Source organism: Homo sapiens, chromosome 19, assembly GCF_000001405.40.
Source record: "Homo sapiens chromosome 19, GRCh38.p14 Primary Assembly".
Taxonomy (NCBI): domain Eukaryota; kingdom Metazoa; phylum Chordata; class Mammalia; order Primates; family Hominidae; genus Homo; species Homo sapiens.
The window spans coordinates 3,034,430-3,052,638 of NC_000019.10; the positions used below are offsets into that span (position 1 = coordinate 3,034,430).

The following is an 18,209-nucleotide window of genomic DNA, read 5'->3' on the forward strand; positions in this document are numbered from 1 at the left end:
TTCACCTTCCTCCACCAGATCACACCACACCCCCAACCCCCTCCAGCCACCCTGGCCAGATCACCTAATTTGTGTCCTTTCTTTCCCACCTCTGAGCCTTTCCCTGCTTGTTATCTCTTCCTGGAATTCCCTCCCCCTCCTTTTATGCCTGGAGAAAGTCCATTTTTTTCAAGGCCCAACCCAAAAACTGTCTCCTGCAAAAGCCTTCTCCCCCAGCCTCCTGTCTTCTTCGCCTCCTGTCTTCTCCATACGCGCGTACACACACACACACACATACACACACTGGATATAAACTGCTTGGTGTTGGTGGATAAATGGATGTTTAGTCTACGAACACCTCCACATGCTGCAAGAGGCTGGATTCCTAGAGAAGATCCAGCCCTAGGCCTTCCAGGGAGGGGCTCCCAGAGCATCTGGTGGGGACAGAGGTACAGGGACACGTACCCTCCCAGGGTCACATAGGGTCAGTGTCAGCACAGGAGCGAGCTAAGGATGAAGGCAGAGCCGGGCGAGGAACAGGGGCATTGCCCGGTGAGTGAGCTGAGGCTCCCTAGAGCAGGGGATCTTTACCCAGCAGTCTTCAGATCCCTCTAACAGGCACACTGCACCGGGGAGGGTAAATACAGATTTGTGGATTGCCCGAGAAGCCACAAGACCACACACGCACACAGGAACACACCCCATCCCTTAGTGTGTGATCCGCCAGGAAGGAGGAGTTTTTGCTCTGGGCAGCAACATCCCCAACTTTGGGAGCAGCGGGTGGAATTTGGGGAGACTCTGCTGCCAGCAACTGTGTGCATACTGGGGAACCCTTGGCCGCCTGTGACTCCATAACTCCCCAAAATACCACATCCGGCCAGAGCAGGAAGCAGGGAAGCAACCTGCCAGGCGTGTTCCAACGTGGGTAGAGTCCCCAGCGACTTCATTTGCCACGCGGGACTTCACGGACCCCCTCTTTGCGCCTCAGTTTCCCCAGCTGCACCATCAGGGAAGAAGCTGCCAGAGGGGAAAAGGAGCTCAGCCGCCGATCTCCCCCTTCCCATTACAGAGAGGCTCAGCCCCTGGTTCCTGGCTAGGGTTTTACGTTGTGGATGTGGGTTTACGGAAAAAAAAAAAAGGGAAAAAGCTGAGAAGCTGCGCTGGGACCCCGGATTGCTCAGACCACCTTAAATCAGCCTGGCCGCCCCAGCTACTGTGGAAATTCCTTTCTCCGCGGTGGTTGGCTGGGGGCGCCAGCCAATCCGCTCGCGACGCTCCCACATGGGTCAGTGACGTCACATAGGAAACTGGCCAATGGGGATTAGGAGACCAGCAACCAATGGCAGGAGGCACTGGGATCAGTAGGGCCAATCGGAAGGCAGCTCGGCGCTCCCGGCGGGGTTTGGCGAGTGTGGCCCCCCTCCCTAGGAGAATCTGAGACCCTAGTGGACGCCCGAGCTCGACCGGATTGGAGGAGGGGGGGCTAAGGCTCCATTATTATCCAGAAACAGGGGAAAGCGAGTCACCCCCAAGCCTGGCCTATCTCCCCTTCAAAACAAGGGACCCTCGTGCAATATGCTACCAGCTAGCTGGCGGAGCAGAGGTTGCATCTTTCTCCCTATTTCACAGATAGGTAAACTGAAGCAAAGAGTAGTTAAGTCACGCTGGACGCCCGGCGAAGAGCTGAAGCTCTTACCCGAGCCTGGGGGCTCCAGGAACGGTCTCAGTTTTACCCCCAGGTGGGGGGGATGGGCCTATAGGTAGTCAGGGGTGGAGGGGGGTGGTGCTGGGCCTTGTGCCTCAGTTTCCCCGAGCGTGGAAGCTGGAGGAGAGCACGGGTTTTCAGAAAAAGACTACGATTCCCAGAAGCTCCCGCGCGGCTCCCGCCCAGGCTGTCAATCAAAGTAACGTGGGTACCTCTCCGGCCCGCGCTCTCCCGCCCGTCGCCTCCCTCCCGCCAGCTCCCGCTCCCTCCCTGCCGGCTCCCGGCCCGGCGCGGTATAATTACAGCCCATTGATCCGACCCGGGCCGGGAAAGCGGCTCCCTCGGGGAGGCCAAGCCTTTGGCTTCCGACACCGCCAACCTCTGCCTACCGCCCCCTCCAGCCGAACTGCCGGGCCACCAGCCAGGCCTGTCCCCTCCCGCTGGCCCCGGGCTCGCGGGTGACCTCTGAGCCTCAGCTCCCCGCCACGCTTGGCGGTGTGCCCCCCGGAAAAATCACACACACATTTCCTTCCACCCAGGAACATGAGGAGCCATCTCCCTAGAACCTCCAGGGCCTCTCTTTGAGCCTCAGTTTACCCAGATGCACAGTGAGATTGCTGGACAAAACTTTCATGAAACCCATACTCCGTGCTGTTCTGCCTGGGAGCAGCCAGGGCTGACCTTGGTGGAAACTCAAGGAGGGGCTCCCAAGTTTGGGAGGAGGGGGAGACAGCCCAGCTCTCTCAGAACCCCTGTGGTCGGGGTTGGGGTTAGGGAGGATCAGAGCTGGGGGTGGGAGTGGGGGCAGGCTCAGCCAGGATTTAGCGCCCCCATTGGGAAGTTGGGATAGCTTTCTAGATGTTGGGTGGTAGTATTTAATAGATGTTGGGGCAGGGCGTGGTGGCTCACGCCCGTAATCCCAGCACTTCAGGAGGCCGAGGCAGGCGGATCACCTGAGGCCAGGAGTTCGAGACCAGCCTGGCCAACATAGTGAAACCCGGTCTTTACTAAAAATACAAAAATTAGCCGGACATGGTGGCACGCTCCTGTAGTCCCAGCTACTCAGGAGACTGAGGCAGGAGAATTGCTTGAACCTGGGATGCAGAGGTTGCAGTGAGCCGAGTTCGCGCCACTGCACTCTAGCCTGGACAACAGAGTGAGACTCTGTCTCAAAAACAAAAACAAAAACAAAACAAAACAAAAAGATGTTGGGTTTCGGTATTTAAGCTAGGGTTTTGCAGAATGCATAGGAGTTGCCTCATTTGAGCAGTGCCTTTAGATTACCCTAACCCTAAGTGGACAGAAGAAAGATGGGGCAGCCTTAAGCCCTTTCCTGTGACAGAGTGAGCCTTGGGCTCTGACCCCTAGCTTTGCTGTGTGGATCTGGGAACATCCCCCAGCTGTGAAGTGTCGGGGAGGTAGATACCCCCTAGGGTTAGAAGGCCCCTGTGCCTACTTTCGCATGGGTCCTGAAGTCACAGTGGGTTCTGACCAGCAGGAGTCAGGGCCTGGGAGCCCGTGGTAGGAGGCACTAGGATTGGCTGAGGGGCTCAGGAACTCCAGCCTCTCCCTGAGTAAGAACTGGGCGGCTGGGGGAGAAGTCCCAGAGTGACAACGGCTCAGTGCCAGGCACGTTTACTCTGCTTGGGTTTCCTTGTCTGGAACACAAGATTAATAATAGAATCTTCAAATAAGGCCTATAAAGTACTTACAATAATGCATAGTAGGCCGGGTGCAGTGGCTCACACCTGTGATCCCAGCACTTAGTTGGGCCAAGATGGGTGGATCACCTGAGGTCAGGAGTTCGACACCAGCCTGGTCAACGTGGGGAAACCCCATCTATACTAAAAATAGAAAAATTAGTCGAGCAAGGTGGCACACGCCTGTAATCCCAGCTACTCAGGAGGCTGAGGCAGGAGAATCCTTGGAACCCAGAAGGCGGAGGTTGCAGTGAGCTGAGATCACACCACTGCACTCCAGCCTGGGGGACAGAGCGAGACTCTGTCTCAAAAAAATAATAATAACAATAACAATAATAATAATGCATAGTAAATGCTCCATAAAGGGTAGCTATTTGTACTCCCAACATTTATTTTGTCCTTATTATTATTTGAGACAAGGTCTCACTCTGTCACCCAGTCTGGAGTGCAGTGCCACCGTCATAGCTCACTGCAGCCTTGACCTCGCTGGGCTCAAGCCGTCTTCCTGCCTCAGCCTCCGGAGTAGCTGGAATCACAGGTGTGTACCACCACACTCAGCTAATTTAAAAAAAATTTTTTTGTAGAGACAGGGTCTCACTATGTTGCCCAGACTGGTCTTCAACTCCTGGGCTCAAGCAGTCCTCTTCCCTCAGCTTCACAGAGTGCTGGGATTACAGGTGTGAAACACTGTGTCCAGCCCCCACTATGTCCTAAAGGGTCCTTCTCTCCCACTCTCCCCTCACGCTCCACATCTATGCTATGCATTCTCCATTGCACCCACATCCTTGATGATCCATTGAAATGTGAATCAGGGCTGGGCGTGGTGGCTCACGCCTGTAATCCCAGCACTTTGGGAGGCCAAGATGGAGGGACTACCTGAGGCCAGAGGTTCGAGACCAGCCTGGCCAACATGGTGAAACCCTGTCTCTACTAAAAATACAAAAATTAAGGCCGGGCGCAGTGGCTCATGCCTGTAATCCCAGCACTTTGGAAGGCTGAGGCGGGCGGATCACCTGAGGTCGGGAGTTCAAGACCAGCCTGACCAACATGGAGAAACCCTGTCTCTACTAAAAATACAAAATTAGCCAGGGTGGTGGCGCATGCCTGTAATCCCAGCTACTTGGGAGGCTGAGGCAGGAGAATCGCTTGAACCCGGGAGGCGGAGGTTGCAGTGAGCTGAGATCGCACCATTGCACTCCAGCCTGGGCAACAAGAGCAAAACCACGACTCAAAAAAAAAATAAAAATTAAAAAAAAAAAATTAGCTGGGTGTGGTGGCGGGCACCTGTAGCTGCTTGGGAGGCTGAGACAGAATTGCTTGAACCCGGGAGGCGGAGGTTGCAGTGAGCTGAGACCGTGCCATTGCACTCCAGGCTGGCCAAGAAGAGCAAAACTCTATCCTTTCCCCACTCCAAAAAAAAAAAAAAAAAAAGTGAATCAGAGTCCATCCCTCCCTTGCTCAAGAACCTTCCATAGCTCCCTATTGCCCTCAACATAAAATCCAAACTCCCTACCTCTGTCTATGTGATCTGACTTCCATCGCCTCCCTCCTCTCACCTCCTCCCACTTCTCCCCCTCTGTTCCAGCCACACAGGCCTTCTCCCTCTTCCTCAAACCAGAGTCTAGCCTCAAGACCTCTGCACTGCATTGGTTGTTCCCTCTGCCTGAACCACGGCCAGCCTTTCTCTTCCTTTCAGATCAAACATCACATCCTAGAGAGGCCAGCCTGGCTAGAGTAGCTCCCCTCCTCCTACCTGCTCAGCTTCCCTCAGTCTTCCGAGGCCTCGTGGCTCTGGGAACACATACTATCTGCTCCCTCCTGTGTGTACGGTCTGCCCAGGCCCCAACACACCACCGGCTACACTGTATTTATTGGGAGAGTAAGTGGACAAGCCCATAGAGGGATAGAGCCTCACCAAGGTCACCCAGCATGACGGACGCGATGCCAGGTCCCCTGCTAACCTGCCCAGCGCTAACACAACCTGTAGGGGTCAGCTGAGATCGCAGAGATCACACTACCTCCAGAGGCTGTGAGACCCAGTGTCACTGATGTGCAAGCCTGGGTTCAAACCCCACCTCCGCCACTGCGTCACTGTGATCCTGTACAGTGGGATAATTATAGAAACGTCTCATTGAGTCATCACACGATCAAATAGCTCGATAGATGAAAAGGCCCCGACCGTTATTATTGTGTGGGAGTGTGTGCGGCCCAGCGGGGACAATTTGGGGTGCGGAAGCAGAGCTGGGGCTGGCACCACAGACAAACCCCATTTTTAAGCCCCTAGGGCCTTCTGGTCATTGCAGCAACCCCATCACCCACACCACGTGTAACCCCTCTGTACCCAGTTGGGGGTTCACCCTCCTAGGATCGCCATGGACTCCCGTCTCTATCTCCACCCTCCCTCCTTCCCTGGAGAGCTCATTGCTGGGCCCCAAACTCGCCCAGCCTGGTCCCCCTGGAAGGCACAGCACAGATGGGGGTTGAACAAACCCCTGGCCGCATGGCCCAATCTGAATCTTCTTTTTAACGTTTGTTTGTTTTTTTTTTAAGACAGTCTCGCTCTGTCGACCAGGCTGGAGTGCAGTGGCTCGATTTCTGTTCACTGCAACCTCCACCTCCCGGGTTCAAGTGATTCTCCTGCCTCAGCCTCCCGAGTAGCTGGGACTACAGGTGCACACCACCATGCCCGGCTCATTTTTGTATTTTTAGTAGATGGGGTTTCACCATGTTACCCAGGCTGGTTTCGAACTCCTGGCCTCAAGGGATCCTCCTGCCTCGGCCACCTGAAGTGCTGGGATTACAGGCGTGAGCCATCTCACCCGGCACAGCATTTTGTTTTTTGTTATTGTTTTAAGACAAGGTCTCACTCCGTCGCCCAGGCTGGAGTGCAGTGACATGATCACGGCTCCCTGCAAGCCTCGAGCAAAATCCTCCCACCTCAACCTCCCAAGTAGCTGAGACCACAATCGTGCACCACCACGCCTGGCTCATTTTTTTAGATTTTGTAGAGATGGGGTCTTGCTATATTATCGACCTCAATCTGAATCTTCCTCATCCAGTTTCTGGTTTGCAGTGAGACCTTTTAACCCCTGTGGACCTCCGTTTGCTCATCTGGAAAAGGGGCATGGTACTGTCACCAACCCCAGAGTGGCCCTTGATGACAGCCTCTGCTGCCATTTATATATATATATATATATATATTTTTTTTTTTTTTTTTTTTTTTTTTTTTTTGAGACAGAGTCTTATTCTGTCGCCCAGACTGGAGTACAGTGGCGAGATCTCGGCTTACTGCAACCTCCACCTCCCAGGCTCAAGCCATCCTCCTGCCTCAGCCTCCCGAGTAGCTGGGATTACAGGTGCGTGCCACCACGCCTGGCTAATTTTTGTATTTTTAGTAGAGATGGGGTTTCACCATGTTGGCCAGGCTGGTCTTGAACTCTTGACCTCAAATTATCCACCTGCCTCAGCCTCCCAAAGTGCTGGGATTACAGGAGTGAGCCCCCGCGCCCAGCCTGCCATTGCTATTATCACTGGGCTACCTGGTTGATATACACACCATGGCCCTCCGAATTATGGGCTGAGAGCTTGCCCTGTGATGGGTACAGTGCCGCCTCCAGGCTTCGCCACCGGGATTCCCTCTGCCTGGAGCACCCGCCCCTCCCTGAGAGCCACCTCCCAACATGGGCTCTTGCTGTCAAACCCTCCTCGGCTCAAATGTCACCTCCTCAGAGAGGCCTCCCCTCCTCTCCTGGGCCAAGCAGCCCCGTCTCTCTCTGTCACCAACCCTTGCTAGATTTTTCTTCCTACCACTTGGTGTTCTCTGCAATGGTCTTGACCTATTTTCCAAACCTTCCCCATGACTCTGTGAGCTCCACGAGGGTCGAGAGGCGCTCCGTCTGGGTCCGTGATACCCAAGCCTGGCACACAGTAGGCGCCCAATAAATACAGGAATGAAAGGCCCGCTGCTGCCCCAGGTTGGTTTTTCTTCCCCACCAATCCAGTTGCTGGGAATTGAGGCTTTGGGGGCAGCCAGGCCCAGAGAGGCCTAGGGACCTGCCCACGGTCACACAGCCACGCGCTCCAGCTGGGAGCTCTGTGGCTGCCTTTGCGGGGGGCCCCGAGTCCCAGGGTTGGGCAGGCCTAGGGCAGGGTCGCCCGCCCCCTCCTCCCGCGGTGCTGCGGGGGAACCCACCATTAGCCACGCGGGCCCGGCCCAGCGTGTTCCCCGACAGGCCCGGGCAGGCCCAGCAGGGGAGTGAGGGGATTGCGGGGAGTAGGGGGAGCGCAGGGAGCGTGGGGACCGCCCCTCCCCGGGACCCGAGAAGGGGGTGTAGGAGGGAAGAGGAGGGGGAGGAGGAGAGAATGGAGGAGGAAACGGAGGGACAAAGGGGGAGGCGGCAAAGGGGAGGGGAGGGGAGAGGAGGGGAGAGGAGGAGGCCCCCGGGTGGAGGGGACCCTGTGGAGGGGCAGGGAGGAAGGGGGGGCGGTGAGGTGCGGGGGAGGGGCAGAGGGGCGGAGGTGGCGGGAGAGGGAGGGGGCGGAGGAGGGACGGGCTTTCAGGCCTGGCAGGCTCCCAGCAACTGCGGGAGGGGTAAGGGGGCCTGGGAGGACGGTGGGCCTGGGTGGGTGGGAGAGGTTTGCAGGGGGAGGTCAGCGGCTGGGGGCGGGAGCGGGGACGGGGATGGTAGGGAGGGAGGCGCCAATGAAGAGATCCAGGGAAGGTTAGGGGACCCAAGCTGGAGACTTTGAAGGACAGAGGGAGAAGCCCAGAGATGGCAGAAAGAGGGAGACGAGACCATCAGAGACCCCCGAGACAGAGGGGGCGAGGCGAGGGAGATTGTTGGATAATCTGTTTCAAACCTGAGTTCTATTTGCTTCATATTAGGGGTTTGTCCCTTCTCCCCAAGTCCCCAGAGATCCTATGTAGAAGCTGTTCTCATTAAGCACCAAACAGTTAAGTCCATTCTCCAGTACTAGCTCGGAAGTCGGTTTCATATTCGACTTAACAATTTAAATGAAAGGAAATTTTTTTTAACGGCAGTGGGGACTTGGAGAAGGAGGGGGACAAAGACAGACATTACCCAGGAGAGAAAGTTAGAGGGGAATCCTAGGCCCTCAGAGGGGAAACCAGGCAGGGGCGGTTTCAGCTCCCTTCTCTAGTTTTTAATTAATTTATTTTTTATTTTTTAGAGACAGGGGTCTCACTGTGTGGCCCAGGCTGCTCTCAAGCTCCTGGCCTCAAATGATCCTCCCTCCTCAGCCTCCCAAAGTGCTGGGATTACAGCCATGAGCCATCTTGCCCGGCACAGCTTTTTGTTTTTTGTTATTGCTTTGAGACAAGGTCTCACCGTGTCGCCCAGGCTAGAGTGTGGTGGCAAGATCACGGCTCCCTGCGAGGCTCAAGCAATCCTCCCGCCTCAGCCTCCCAAGTAGCTGAGACCACAATCGTACACTACCATGCCCGGCCTGGCCTCAAGCAATCTTCCAGCCTCGGCCTGCCAAAGTGCTGGGATTATAGGCGTGAGCCATGGCACCCGGCCCCTTCTGCAGCTTTTTTTTTTTTTTTTTTTTTTTGAGATGGTCTCGAACGCCTAACCTCGTGATCCGCCCGCTTCAGCCTCCCAAAGTGCTGGGATTACAGGCGTGAGCCACCGCGCCATGCCTGGCCTCTGCAGCTTTTAATATCAGAAAACATCTACCTGGGACCTGCATCATGGGTCGCACCTGTAATCCCGGCAGTTTGGGAGGCCAAGACGAGCGGATCATTTGAGGTCAGGAGTTTGAGATCAACCTGGCCAACATGGTGAAACCCCGTCTCTACTAAAAATACAAAAAAAAAAAAAAAAATTAGCCAGGCATGGTGGCGGGCGCCTGTAGTCCCAGCTACTGGGGAGGCTGAGGCAGGAGAATGGCGTGAACCCGGGAGGTGGAGCTTGCAGTGAGCCAAGATCGTGCCACTGCACTCCAGCCTGGGTGACAGAGCGAGACTCCATCTCAAAAAAACAAAACAAAACAAAAAAATTAGCCAGGCATGGTGGCGGGGGCCTGTAATCCCAGTTACTCGGGAGGCTGAGGCAGGAGAATTGCTTGAACCCAGGGGGCAGAGGTTGCAGTGAGCCAAGATCGCACCACTGCACTCCAGCCTCGGCGACAGAGCAAGACTCTGTCTCAAAAACAAAAAACAAAACAACAACAACAAAAATACAAAAGGTAGCCAGGCGTGGTGGTGCATCCCTGTAATCGCAGCTGCTTGGGAGGCTGGGGCAGGAGAATGGCTTGAACCCAGGAGACAGAGGTTGCAGTGGGCCGAGACCTTGCCACTGCCCTCCAGCCTGGGCGACAGAGACTCCGTCTCACCAAAAAAAAAAACAAAAACAAACCAAAACACCTAAGTGGCACAGGGGCCTCCTCGTGACTTTCTGCCTCAGTTTCCCCTCCAGCCTGCCCCCCTGGTGTCCCATGGAGGATCTCGATAATCGCACATCTGGGTGTGCCGCCCCTTTGCTGCTCGAACACCATCCATGGCTCCCTATGCCCCAGCTCCTGGCCTGTAGGGCAGGCAGGATTCTACAGGGCTGGCCCACATCCACCCATCTCACTGGCTTCTCTGCCCTTTGCTTTTTAGAGAAGGATTCCCGCTCTGTCGCCCAGGCTGGAGTGCAGTGGCACGATTTCTGCTCACTGCACCCTCCACCTCCCGGGTTCAAGTGATTCTCCTTCCTCAGCTTCCTGAGTTGCTGGGATTACAGGTGTGCGCCACCACGCCCGGCTAATTTTTGTCTTTTTAGTAGAGATGGGGTTTCACCATGTTGCCCAGGCTGGTCTCAAACTCCTGGCCTGACGTGACCCTCCTGCCTCGGCCTCCCGAAGCGCTGGGATTACAGGCGTGAGCCACTGTGCCTGGCCTTCACTGCCATTTTCTCACTTTCTTCCCTAATCGCTACACACCTACTGTGTGCCAGGCATGATTCTAGGCCCCAGGATCTATAGTAGAAACCCAAATCAGACAAACTCTCTTCGCCAAAGTCATATTAGAGTGGAGAAAAGCAGTGGACAAGAGAATATTTGTTGGGATAAATTGTGCGGAGCAAAAAATGCTGTGAAGATAAAGAATGCAGGGAAAGCCGGGCGCGGTGGCTCATGACTGTCATCCCAGCACTTTGGGAGGCCGAGGTGGGTGGATCACTTGAGGTCAGGAGTTTCAGACCAGCCTGGCCAACATGGCAAGACCTTGTCCCTACAAAAAAAAAATTAGCTGGATGTGGTGGTGTGTGCCTGTAGTCTTGGCTACTTAGGAGGCCGACATGGGAGGATCACCTGAGCCCGGGAGGTTGAGGCTGCAGTGAGCTATGATAGCGCCACTGAACTTCAGCCTGGTTGCCCAGGTGAGACCTTGTCTCAAAATAATAAAAATAAAGAATGCAGGAAAAAGTGATTGTGATGGGGATGACTGAAGTAGGAACAGCGTGTTCCAGGCAGAGGGAAAGGCCCTACCTGGGACCATGCGTGAACACCTTCAGCCACAGGGAAGGTGCCAGGAAGGGTCAGACTGAGGCAGTGACTACGGGGCAGGGGTCGTGAGCCTCCAAGGTCAGCCCTGCCTCAGCCAATCCTGCTGCACCCCAACTCTGCCTGGAATCGGTCTTTCAAGTCCTTCCTCCTCCCCCACCAGTCAGTGAGTCCAGAAACTTCTTTCTCTTAAACCAAATGGTTAAGATCCTGGCTGGGTGCAGTGGCTTACACCTGTAATCCCAACACTTTGGGAGGCCAAGGCGGGCGGATCACTTGAGGTCAGGAGTTCGAGACCAGCCTGGCCAACATGGTGAAACCACCCCCCACCCCACCCCGTCTCTACTAAAAATACAAAATTAACCAGGTGTGGTGGCGGGCGCCTGTAATCCCAGCTACTCGCCTGTAATCCTGAAGCAGGAGAATCTTGGGAGGCGGAGGTTGCAGTGAGCCGTGATTGCACCATTGCACTTCAGCCTGGGCAACAAGAGTGAAACTCTGTCTCAAAAAACAACCAATCAAATGGTTAAGATCCTGAATTTCCTGCATTTGAATCCAGATTCCCTGGCTCTGTGACCACTTAGAGCCTCAGTTTCCTTATCTGTAAAACAGACCCTCCTTCAGAGAGAATCCTTTGAGAGATCCAATTTTCACTGTACCACTCAAGCACTGCTGGAGGCGTGATAGATGTTCAGGACAACACAGCCGGTATTACTGTTGTTATCTTTATGATATCTTTGCCTTCCTAATTAGTCTGGTTGCCCCTAGGGGGGCAAAGAGGTCCCTGAGCAGCCAGCAGGAGACTCAGCTACAGCCCTGACTTATTCCTGCCCTTGAGCAATGTTCTGATGTCCGTGGGCCTCAGTTTTCCCATCTGCACCATGGGAAGAGAGCGGGATCATTTCTAGCTCCCTAATTCCACCAGCACTGCAGGTGCAGCTTTTATTTTCTCCCCCAAGACTGCCTGAAGGGCACACAGAGGGACGGAGAAGGCTCAGCTGCAGACAATTCAGCCAGCGCAGGCACCTGGCCGGCCTGACTGTGAATGTCTAATGCGTCCTAGCTTTAGCTCCTATTCCCCGCTCCTTTTCCTCCACCCCTCCCCGCCCCCAACCGGGCTGGGGATGGGGAAGGGGGATTCTGTAAGTGCTCCCACCCTCTGCTGGAGGCCAGAGCCTGGCCCTTTGGGGTGCAGATGGGGGGAAATGGAGGATTTCAGACCCCGGAGTCCCCAGTCCCCTGACAGACACCCCCCCACCCCCCACCCCACCTCCGCTAGAGTCCTGCCACCGGGGCCTGTGGGATTCTCCTCCCTCCACTGAGAACCATTGTGTGGATGGGGGCAATCGAGGCCCAGCGGGCAGGGGATCTCCTCACCTGCTGGAACGTCCCTCAGAATGGGGGAGGGGGGCTGGGAGAATGGTGGGGTCGGAGAAGGGGAGAGCCTTGGAGAAGGGGCTTCCAGAGGAAACAGGGTGTTAGAGCGGGAGAGGTAACCAGAAAGGAATATGGGCCCACCCCAGTCCTCTCTGCTCCCCTCTGGTCCCATCCAAGGAGCTGGGAGCATCGCTGTGCCTCCCCCTCCTCCCTCTCCTCCTCCCCCTCCTCTGCCTCCCCCTCCTCCTCCCTTCCCTCCCTCCTTCTCCCCCACCTTCCTATTCTTCCCTCCCTTCCTGCTATTTTCTCTCCCTCCTCCCTCCCCTCAGTTTTCTCCCCACGCCCCTCCCTCTCCCTCCCCTCCCTCCCCCTCCCTCCACTTCCCTCCTCTCTCTCCTCCCCTCCTCCTTCCCCTCTCCCCCTCCTCTCCCTACCCCCGCCTCCCCGCTGTTCTCTCCCCTCCCCTCCCCCTACCCTCCCCCGTCCTCCGCCTCATTAGGCGCGGCCGCGGCGCGGGGCCCATTAGCCGATCAATTAGCCGAGGTCGCCCGCGGCGCAGTCGTTAAGCGCGGGGCGGCCGCGGCGGGGAGGGGGCTCGGAGCCCGCGCCTCCGCCCGCCCGCCCCGGCTTCCCGGACCCGAGCACGCCCCCCCAGGACGCCTCCTGCCACCCGCCCCCCAGCGGGCCCCGGGACCCTCCCCAAACCCTGCGGGGGCCTGGGAGACCCCCGGATCGCAGGCCAGGCCGTGGCTGAGTAGGCAGGACCCCTTCTTCCGAGAAGACCCCTTGTGGGGGTGTCGGGCTTGTGACCCCCCCCCAGGCATCCTTCTGCTGCCAGCAACATCAATATCAGTAATACTTACTATTGTTATTATTATTATTACTAGCTGACACTCTTGAGCCCTTGCAGAAGTTCTAATTCTCAGTACAATTTTCCAGAAATTGAGATCAGAGCGTGACTTCACTTGCCCCGAATCACCCCTAAGGGTCGGAGATGAGGAGCCCCAAGTAAATATGTTGGCATTCCTGCAGTTCTTTCTATGTGTAGATTTCACACACAAAAACGCAACCCACACTCCCCGTTCCCCGTTCTCCTCCGCCTAGTCTTTCTCTATCGACACACCCGCTGACACGCCGTATATTTTACTTGTTTATCTGTTCACCCCAGCCAGGAGGGCGGGGCTTTCTGTCTTGTTCCCTGCTGGGCCTCTGGGACTCAGGGTAGAGTCTCCACAGACGAATGAATGGGCCGGGCTGCGGTGTCTCTCGCCTGTAATCCTCGCACTTTGGGAGGCCGAGGCGGGCGGATCATCTGAGGTCAGGAGTTCGAGATCAGCCTGGCCAATATGGCGAAACCCCATCTCTACTAAAAATACAAAAAATTAGCCAGGTGTGGTGGCGGGCGCTTGTAGTCCCAGCTACCTCGGGGGCTGAGGCAGGAGAATCACTTGAACCCGGGAGGTGGGGGTTGAAGTGAGTCGAGATCATGCCACTGCATGATCTGGGCGACAGAGCGAGAGTCTGTCTCAAAAAAAAATTAAAAAATGAATGAATGAATGCACCAGCCTCTGCTGTGAGCACTTTCCTTGGATTAAAATGGGGTCTTCCTAACAAGGATCGGTTCTGTGATTATACCCATTTTACAGATAGAGAAACTAAGCCCCAGCGTGGTGAAGCCACTTGCCTGAATCAACCAGCTGTGAGAGGAAGAGCCAGGATTTAAATCCAGGCTGGACACTCCATGCCGAGGAACATCCTAGGACACCTGTGCCACTTCTGTGACAGCTGCTGATGCCTTTTGCACTCAGTTTTTTTTTTTTTTTTTTTTTTTTTGAGACAGAGTTTTGCTCTTGTTGCCCAGGCTGGAGTTCAAGGGCATGATCTCGGCTCACTTCAACCCCCACCTCCCGGGTTCAAGGGATTCTCCTGCCTCAGCGTCCCAAGTAGCTGGGATTACAGGCGCACGCCACCATGCCTGGCTAATTTTGTATTTTTAATAGAGACATGATTTCTCCATGTTGGTCAGGCTGGTCTCGAACTCCCGACCTCAGGTGATCCGTCCGCCTCAGCCTCCCAAAATGCTAGGATTACAGGCTTGAACCACCGCGCCCGGCCTGCTTTTGTTTTTTAATAAAGACAGTGTCTCGTTCTGTAGCCAGGCTGGAGTTCAGTGGCGCGATCATGGCTCCTTGCAGCCTCAAACTCCGGGGCTCAAGCAATCCTCCCGCCTCAGCCTCCAGAGTAGCTGGGACTACAGGCACACAACACCACGCCTGACTATTTTTTGGATTTTTAGTAGAGATAGGGTTGTGCCATCTCAGCCAGGCTGGTCTTGAACTCCTGGCCTCAAGTGATCCTCCCACCTTGGCCTCCCAAAGTGCTCGGATTACAGGCATGAGCCACTGCACTCCGCCTTATTTTTATTTTTTGTAGAGATGATGTCTTCCTATGTTGCCCAGGCTGGTCTTGAACTCCTGGGTTCAAGTGATTCTCCAATCTCAGCCTCCCAAAGTGCTGGGGTTACAGGTGTGTGCCAGCGTGTCTGGCTGGACTCAGGGTCTTTGTGTGGGAACTGGGGTAGGGATGTTGCGAAACCCACCCTGCTTTTGGTGGGTGAGAGTCAGAGGAGGCCTTCAGAAAAGTGACTTCTAGGGAGTCTCAGAGAATTAGAATGCCTGGGAGGGGAAATAAAGAGAACCCTGTTCCAGGCAGAGGGAACAGCATGTGAAAAGGCCTCAAGGCAAGGGACAGCAAGATGTTTCACCTTGGCTGCAGCCTGTTGAGTAGGAGTGAAAGGAGGGATGGGTAGGGTCTCCTGGGCCGAGGTGAAGAATTTCGAATTAATTCCAAGGGCAGTGAGAGCCAAAGATAATCTTTTTTTTTTTTTTTTTTTTTTTGAGACAGAATCTCACTCTGTCAGCCACGCTGGAGTACAGTGGCATGATCATAGTTCACTACAGCCTTGACCTCTAGGGCTCCAGCAATCCTCCTCACTCAGCCTCCCAAGTAGCTGGGACCACAGGTGCACAACACTATGCCCGGCTGATTCTTTTTTTTTTTTTTTGAGACGGAGTCTTGCTCTGTTGCCCAGGCTGGAGTGCAGTGGTGCGATCTCAGCTCACTGCAAGCTCCTCCTCCCGGGTTCACGCCATTCTCCTGCCTCAGCCTCCCGAGTAGCTGGGACCACAGGCGCCTGCCACCACGCCCGGCTAATTTTTTGTATTTTTAGTAGAGACGGGGTTTCACCGTGTTAGCCAGGATGGTCTCGATCTCCTGACCTTGTGATCCACCCGCCTTGGCCTCCCAAAGTGCTGGGATTACAGGCATAAGCCACCGCGCCTGGCCATAATTCTTATATTTTTGTAGAGATAGGGTCTCACTATGTTGCTTAGGCTGGTCTTGAACTCCCAGCCTCAAGCGATCCTCTCACCTTGGCTTCCCAAAGTGCTGAGATTACAGGTGTGAGCCACCAGGAGCAGCCTATCTTTTTTCATGACTGTGTAGTATTCTGCTGTGTGACCATGTCACAATCCATCTATTTGATTGGGGGCAATTATGACAAATTACAGCAGCTCTAAACACTCTTGTTCAGGTCTGTTTTTTTGTTTTGTTTTGTTTTGTTTTGTTTGAGATGGAGTTTCACTCTGTCACCTAGGCTGGAATGCAGTGGCGCAATCTCAGCTCACTGCAACCTCCGCCTCCCGGGTTCAAGCGATTCTCCTGCCTCAGCCTCCTGAGTAGCTGGGACTGCACGGCTGCCACCACACCCGACTAATTTTTGTATTTTTAGTAGAGATGGGGTTTCACTATGTTGGCCAGGCTGGTCTTGAACCCCTGACCTGAGGTGATCCACTCACCTCGGCCTCCCAAAGTGCTGGGATTACAGGCGTGAGCCACCGCGCCTGGCCAATTGTTCGGGTCTTTTTGATGGACTCATATGACATTTCCGTTGGGAGATGGATCCAAGAGGGGAATTGCTGGATTATGTGGTGCCAAGTGGCCTTCTGAAGTAGAGGTAAGAGTTTACCCTTGCTGGCCGGGCGCGGTGGCTCACGCCTGTAATCCCAGCACTTTGGGAGGCCAAGGCGGGTGGATCACGACGTCAGGAGATCGAGACCATCCTGGCTAACATGGTGAAACCCCGTCTCTACTAAAAATACAAAAAAAAATTAGCTGGGCGTGGTGGCGGGCGCCTGTAATCCCAGCTACTTGGGAGGCTGAGGCAGGAGAATGGCGTGAACCCGGGAGGCAGAGCTTGCAGTGAGCCGAGCCGAGATTGTGCCACTGCACTCCAGCCTGGGCGACAGAGCAAGACTCCATCTCAAAAAAGAAAAGGAAATAAGAAGAATTTACCCTTGCCAAGGGGTGTGCCTAGGCGTGTTCAGGTTTCAACAAGGGTAAATGTCAGCAGGGGATGATCCCTTGCAACTGGCATTTTTAGAGGCACTTTGGCTGCAGTGGAGATGGGGTGGGACCTGCCAGGAGGCTGGTGTGATCAGCCAGCCCTGTCCCCTCCACTCCCAGCCCTCTCCTCAGGGACATGAGACATTTTCCCCAATGTCGGCTGTCCATCTCCACCCTTGTCAGCTCCCCTCAGCTCGGACTTCCTCCTGCCGTGAAGTCCCTCCAGAGTAGAAATGGCCATCTCCCATTTGCTGGGTGGGCAGCAACATGTTCCCTTGGCCCAAGTCCCAGAGGAGCCAGGGGCTGAGGCCAAGATGGGAAAACTGGGGGCAATCCCCTTTCCTTCTGGCTTCCCCACGGCTGGTGCAGCTTGGGTGAGGCGGTGGGGGTTGGGGGGCTTCTGGCTGTTCCTTAGAGGATGGAGGCTCAGCTGGGGCGAGTCAGTGTTCTCTCTGAGTATACTGGCCAGGCACGGGGGCTCACGCCTGTAATCCCAGCACTTTGGGAGGCTGAGGCGGGAGGACTGCTTGAGCCCAGGAGTTTGAGACCTGGGTAACATGGTGAAACCTCATTTCTACAAAAAAAAAAAAAAAAAAAATTATATATATATATATATATATATATATATATATATATATATATATATATATATATATATACAAAAGATTAGGCGAGTATGGTGGTGCATGCCCACTGTCCCAGCTCAGGAGGCTGAGGCTGAGGTGGGAGGATCACTTTAGCTCAGGGAAGTTGAGGCTGCAGTGAGCTGTGATCACACCACTGCACTCTAGCCTGGGCAACAGAGTGAGACCCTGTCTCAAAAAAACAAACAAACAAACAAAAAAAACCCACCCAGAACCGAAAAGAAGTGTACCTGTGTGGGCACTGGGGCCTCCTCTTTCTCTAAGGGAAGAGAATGTCCTTTAGGTCTTCAGATCTCGGGTGCAGAAATCAGCTCTGCCACTGACTCACTTATTTTATTATTAAAAAAAAATTTTTTTTTAGGAGATGGGGTCTTGCTATGTTGCTCAGGTTGTCCTTGCACTCCCGGCCTCAGGCAATCCTCCCACCTCAGCCTCCCCACTTACTAGCTTAGGGATCCCTTCGCCTTTTTAAGCCCCCTTAACTGCCTGTCTAAACATCAACCACCTGGGCCATGCTGTGTGACCTGAAGTCTTCAGCTCACCCTCTCTGGGCTAGGCATCAGAGCAGTGTAGGCCAAATGCAGAAGCGTGACCCACCAACTCTTTTTTTTTGAGACAGCGTCTTGTTCTGTCGCCCAGGCTGAAGTGCAGAGGCATCATCTCAGCTCACTGCAACCTCTGCCTCCCGGGTTCAAGCAATTCTTGTGTCCCAGCCTCCTAAGCAGCTGGAATTACAGGTGCACGCCACCATGCCCGGCTACTTTTTGTATTTTTTTTTTTTTTGAGATGGAGTTTTGCTCTTGTTGCCCAGGCTGGAGTGCAGTGGTGCGATCTCAGCTCACCGCAACCTCCTTGAATTCAAGTGATTCTTCTGCCTCAGCCTCTTAAGTA

The 18,209-nt window shown here is 54.7% G+C and overlaps 1 protein-coding gene across 1 annotated transcript in view, besides 4 other annotated features; it reads right to left on the minus strand.

Annotated features, from left to right (window-relative positions):
- TLE2 (TLE family member 2, transcriptional corepressor) overlaps positions 1–13,206 on the minus strand; it is a 49,992-nt gene extending 36,786 nt beyond the window's left edge. Inside the window, exons 1-2 of the mRNA NM_001144761.2 lie at positions 13,134–13,206; positions 11,297–11,370 (exon numbers count right to left, since the gene is read on the minus strand). Coding sequence (NP_001138233.1) covers positions 11,297–11,359 — 63 coding nt within the window. The 5' untranslated portion in view covers positions 11,360–11,370; positions 13,134–13,206. The remainder of the gene's footprint in view (positions 1–11,296; positions 11,371–13,133) is intronic.
- Positions 842–1,041: an enhancer, noted in NCBI's record as "active region_13724". NCBI's record gives its function as "activates an Ori minimal core promoter by ATAC-STARR-seq in GM12878 lymphoblastoid cells {active_cell/tissue: GM12878}" and the evidence as "EXISTENCE:reporter gene assay evidence [ECO:0000049][PMID:35858748]".
- Positions 1,182–1,351: a silencer, noted in NCBI's record as "silent region_9820". NCBI's record gives its function as "represses an Ori minimal core promoter by ATAC-STARR-seq in GM12878 lymphoblastoid cells {active_cell/tissue: GM12878}" and the evidence as "EXISTENCE:reporter gene assay evidence [ECO:0000049][PMID:35858748]".
- Positions 2,012–2,071: a silencer, noted in NCBI's record as "silent region_9821". NCBI's record gives its function as "represses an Ori minimal core promoter by ATAC-STARR-seq in GM12878 lymphoblastoid cells {active_cell/tissue: GM12878}" and the evidence as "EXISTENCE:reporter gene assay evidence [ECO:0000049][PMID:35858748]".
- Positions 7,253–7,376: a silencer, noted in NCBI's record as "fragment chr19:3041680-3041803 (GRCh37/hg19 assembly coordinates)". NCBI's record gives its function as "represses an EF-1alpha promoter that drives an FKBP-Casp9 reporter gene in an ReSE screen in HepG2 liver carcinoma cells {active_cell/tissue: HepG2}" and the evidence as "EXISTENCE:reporter gene assay evidence [ECO:0000049][PMID:32094911]".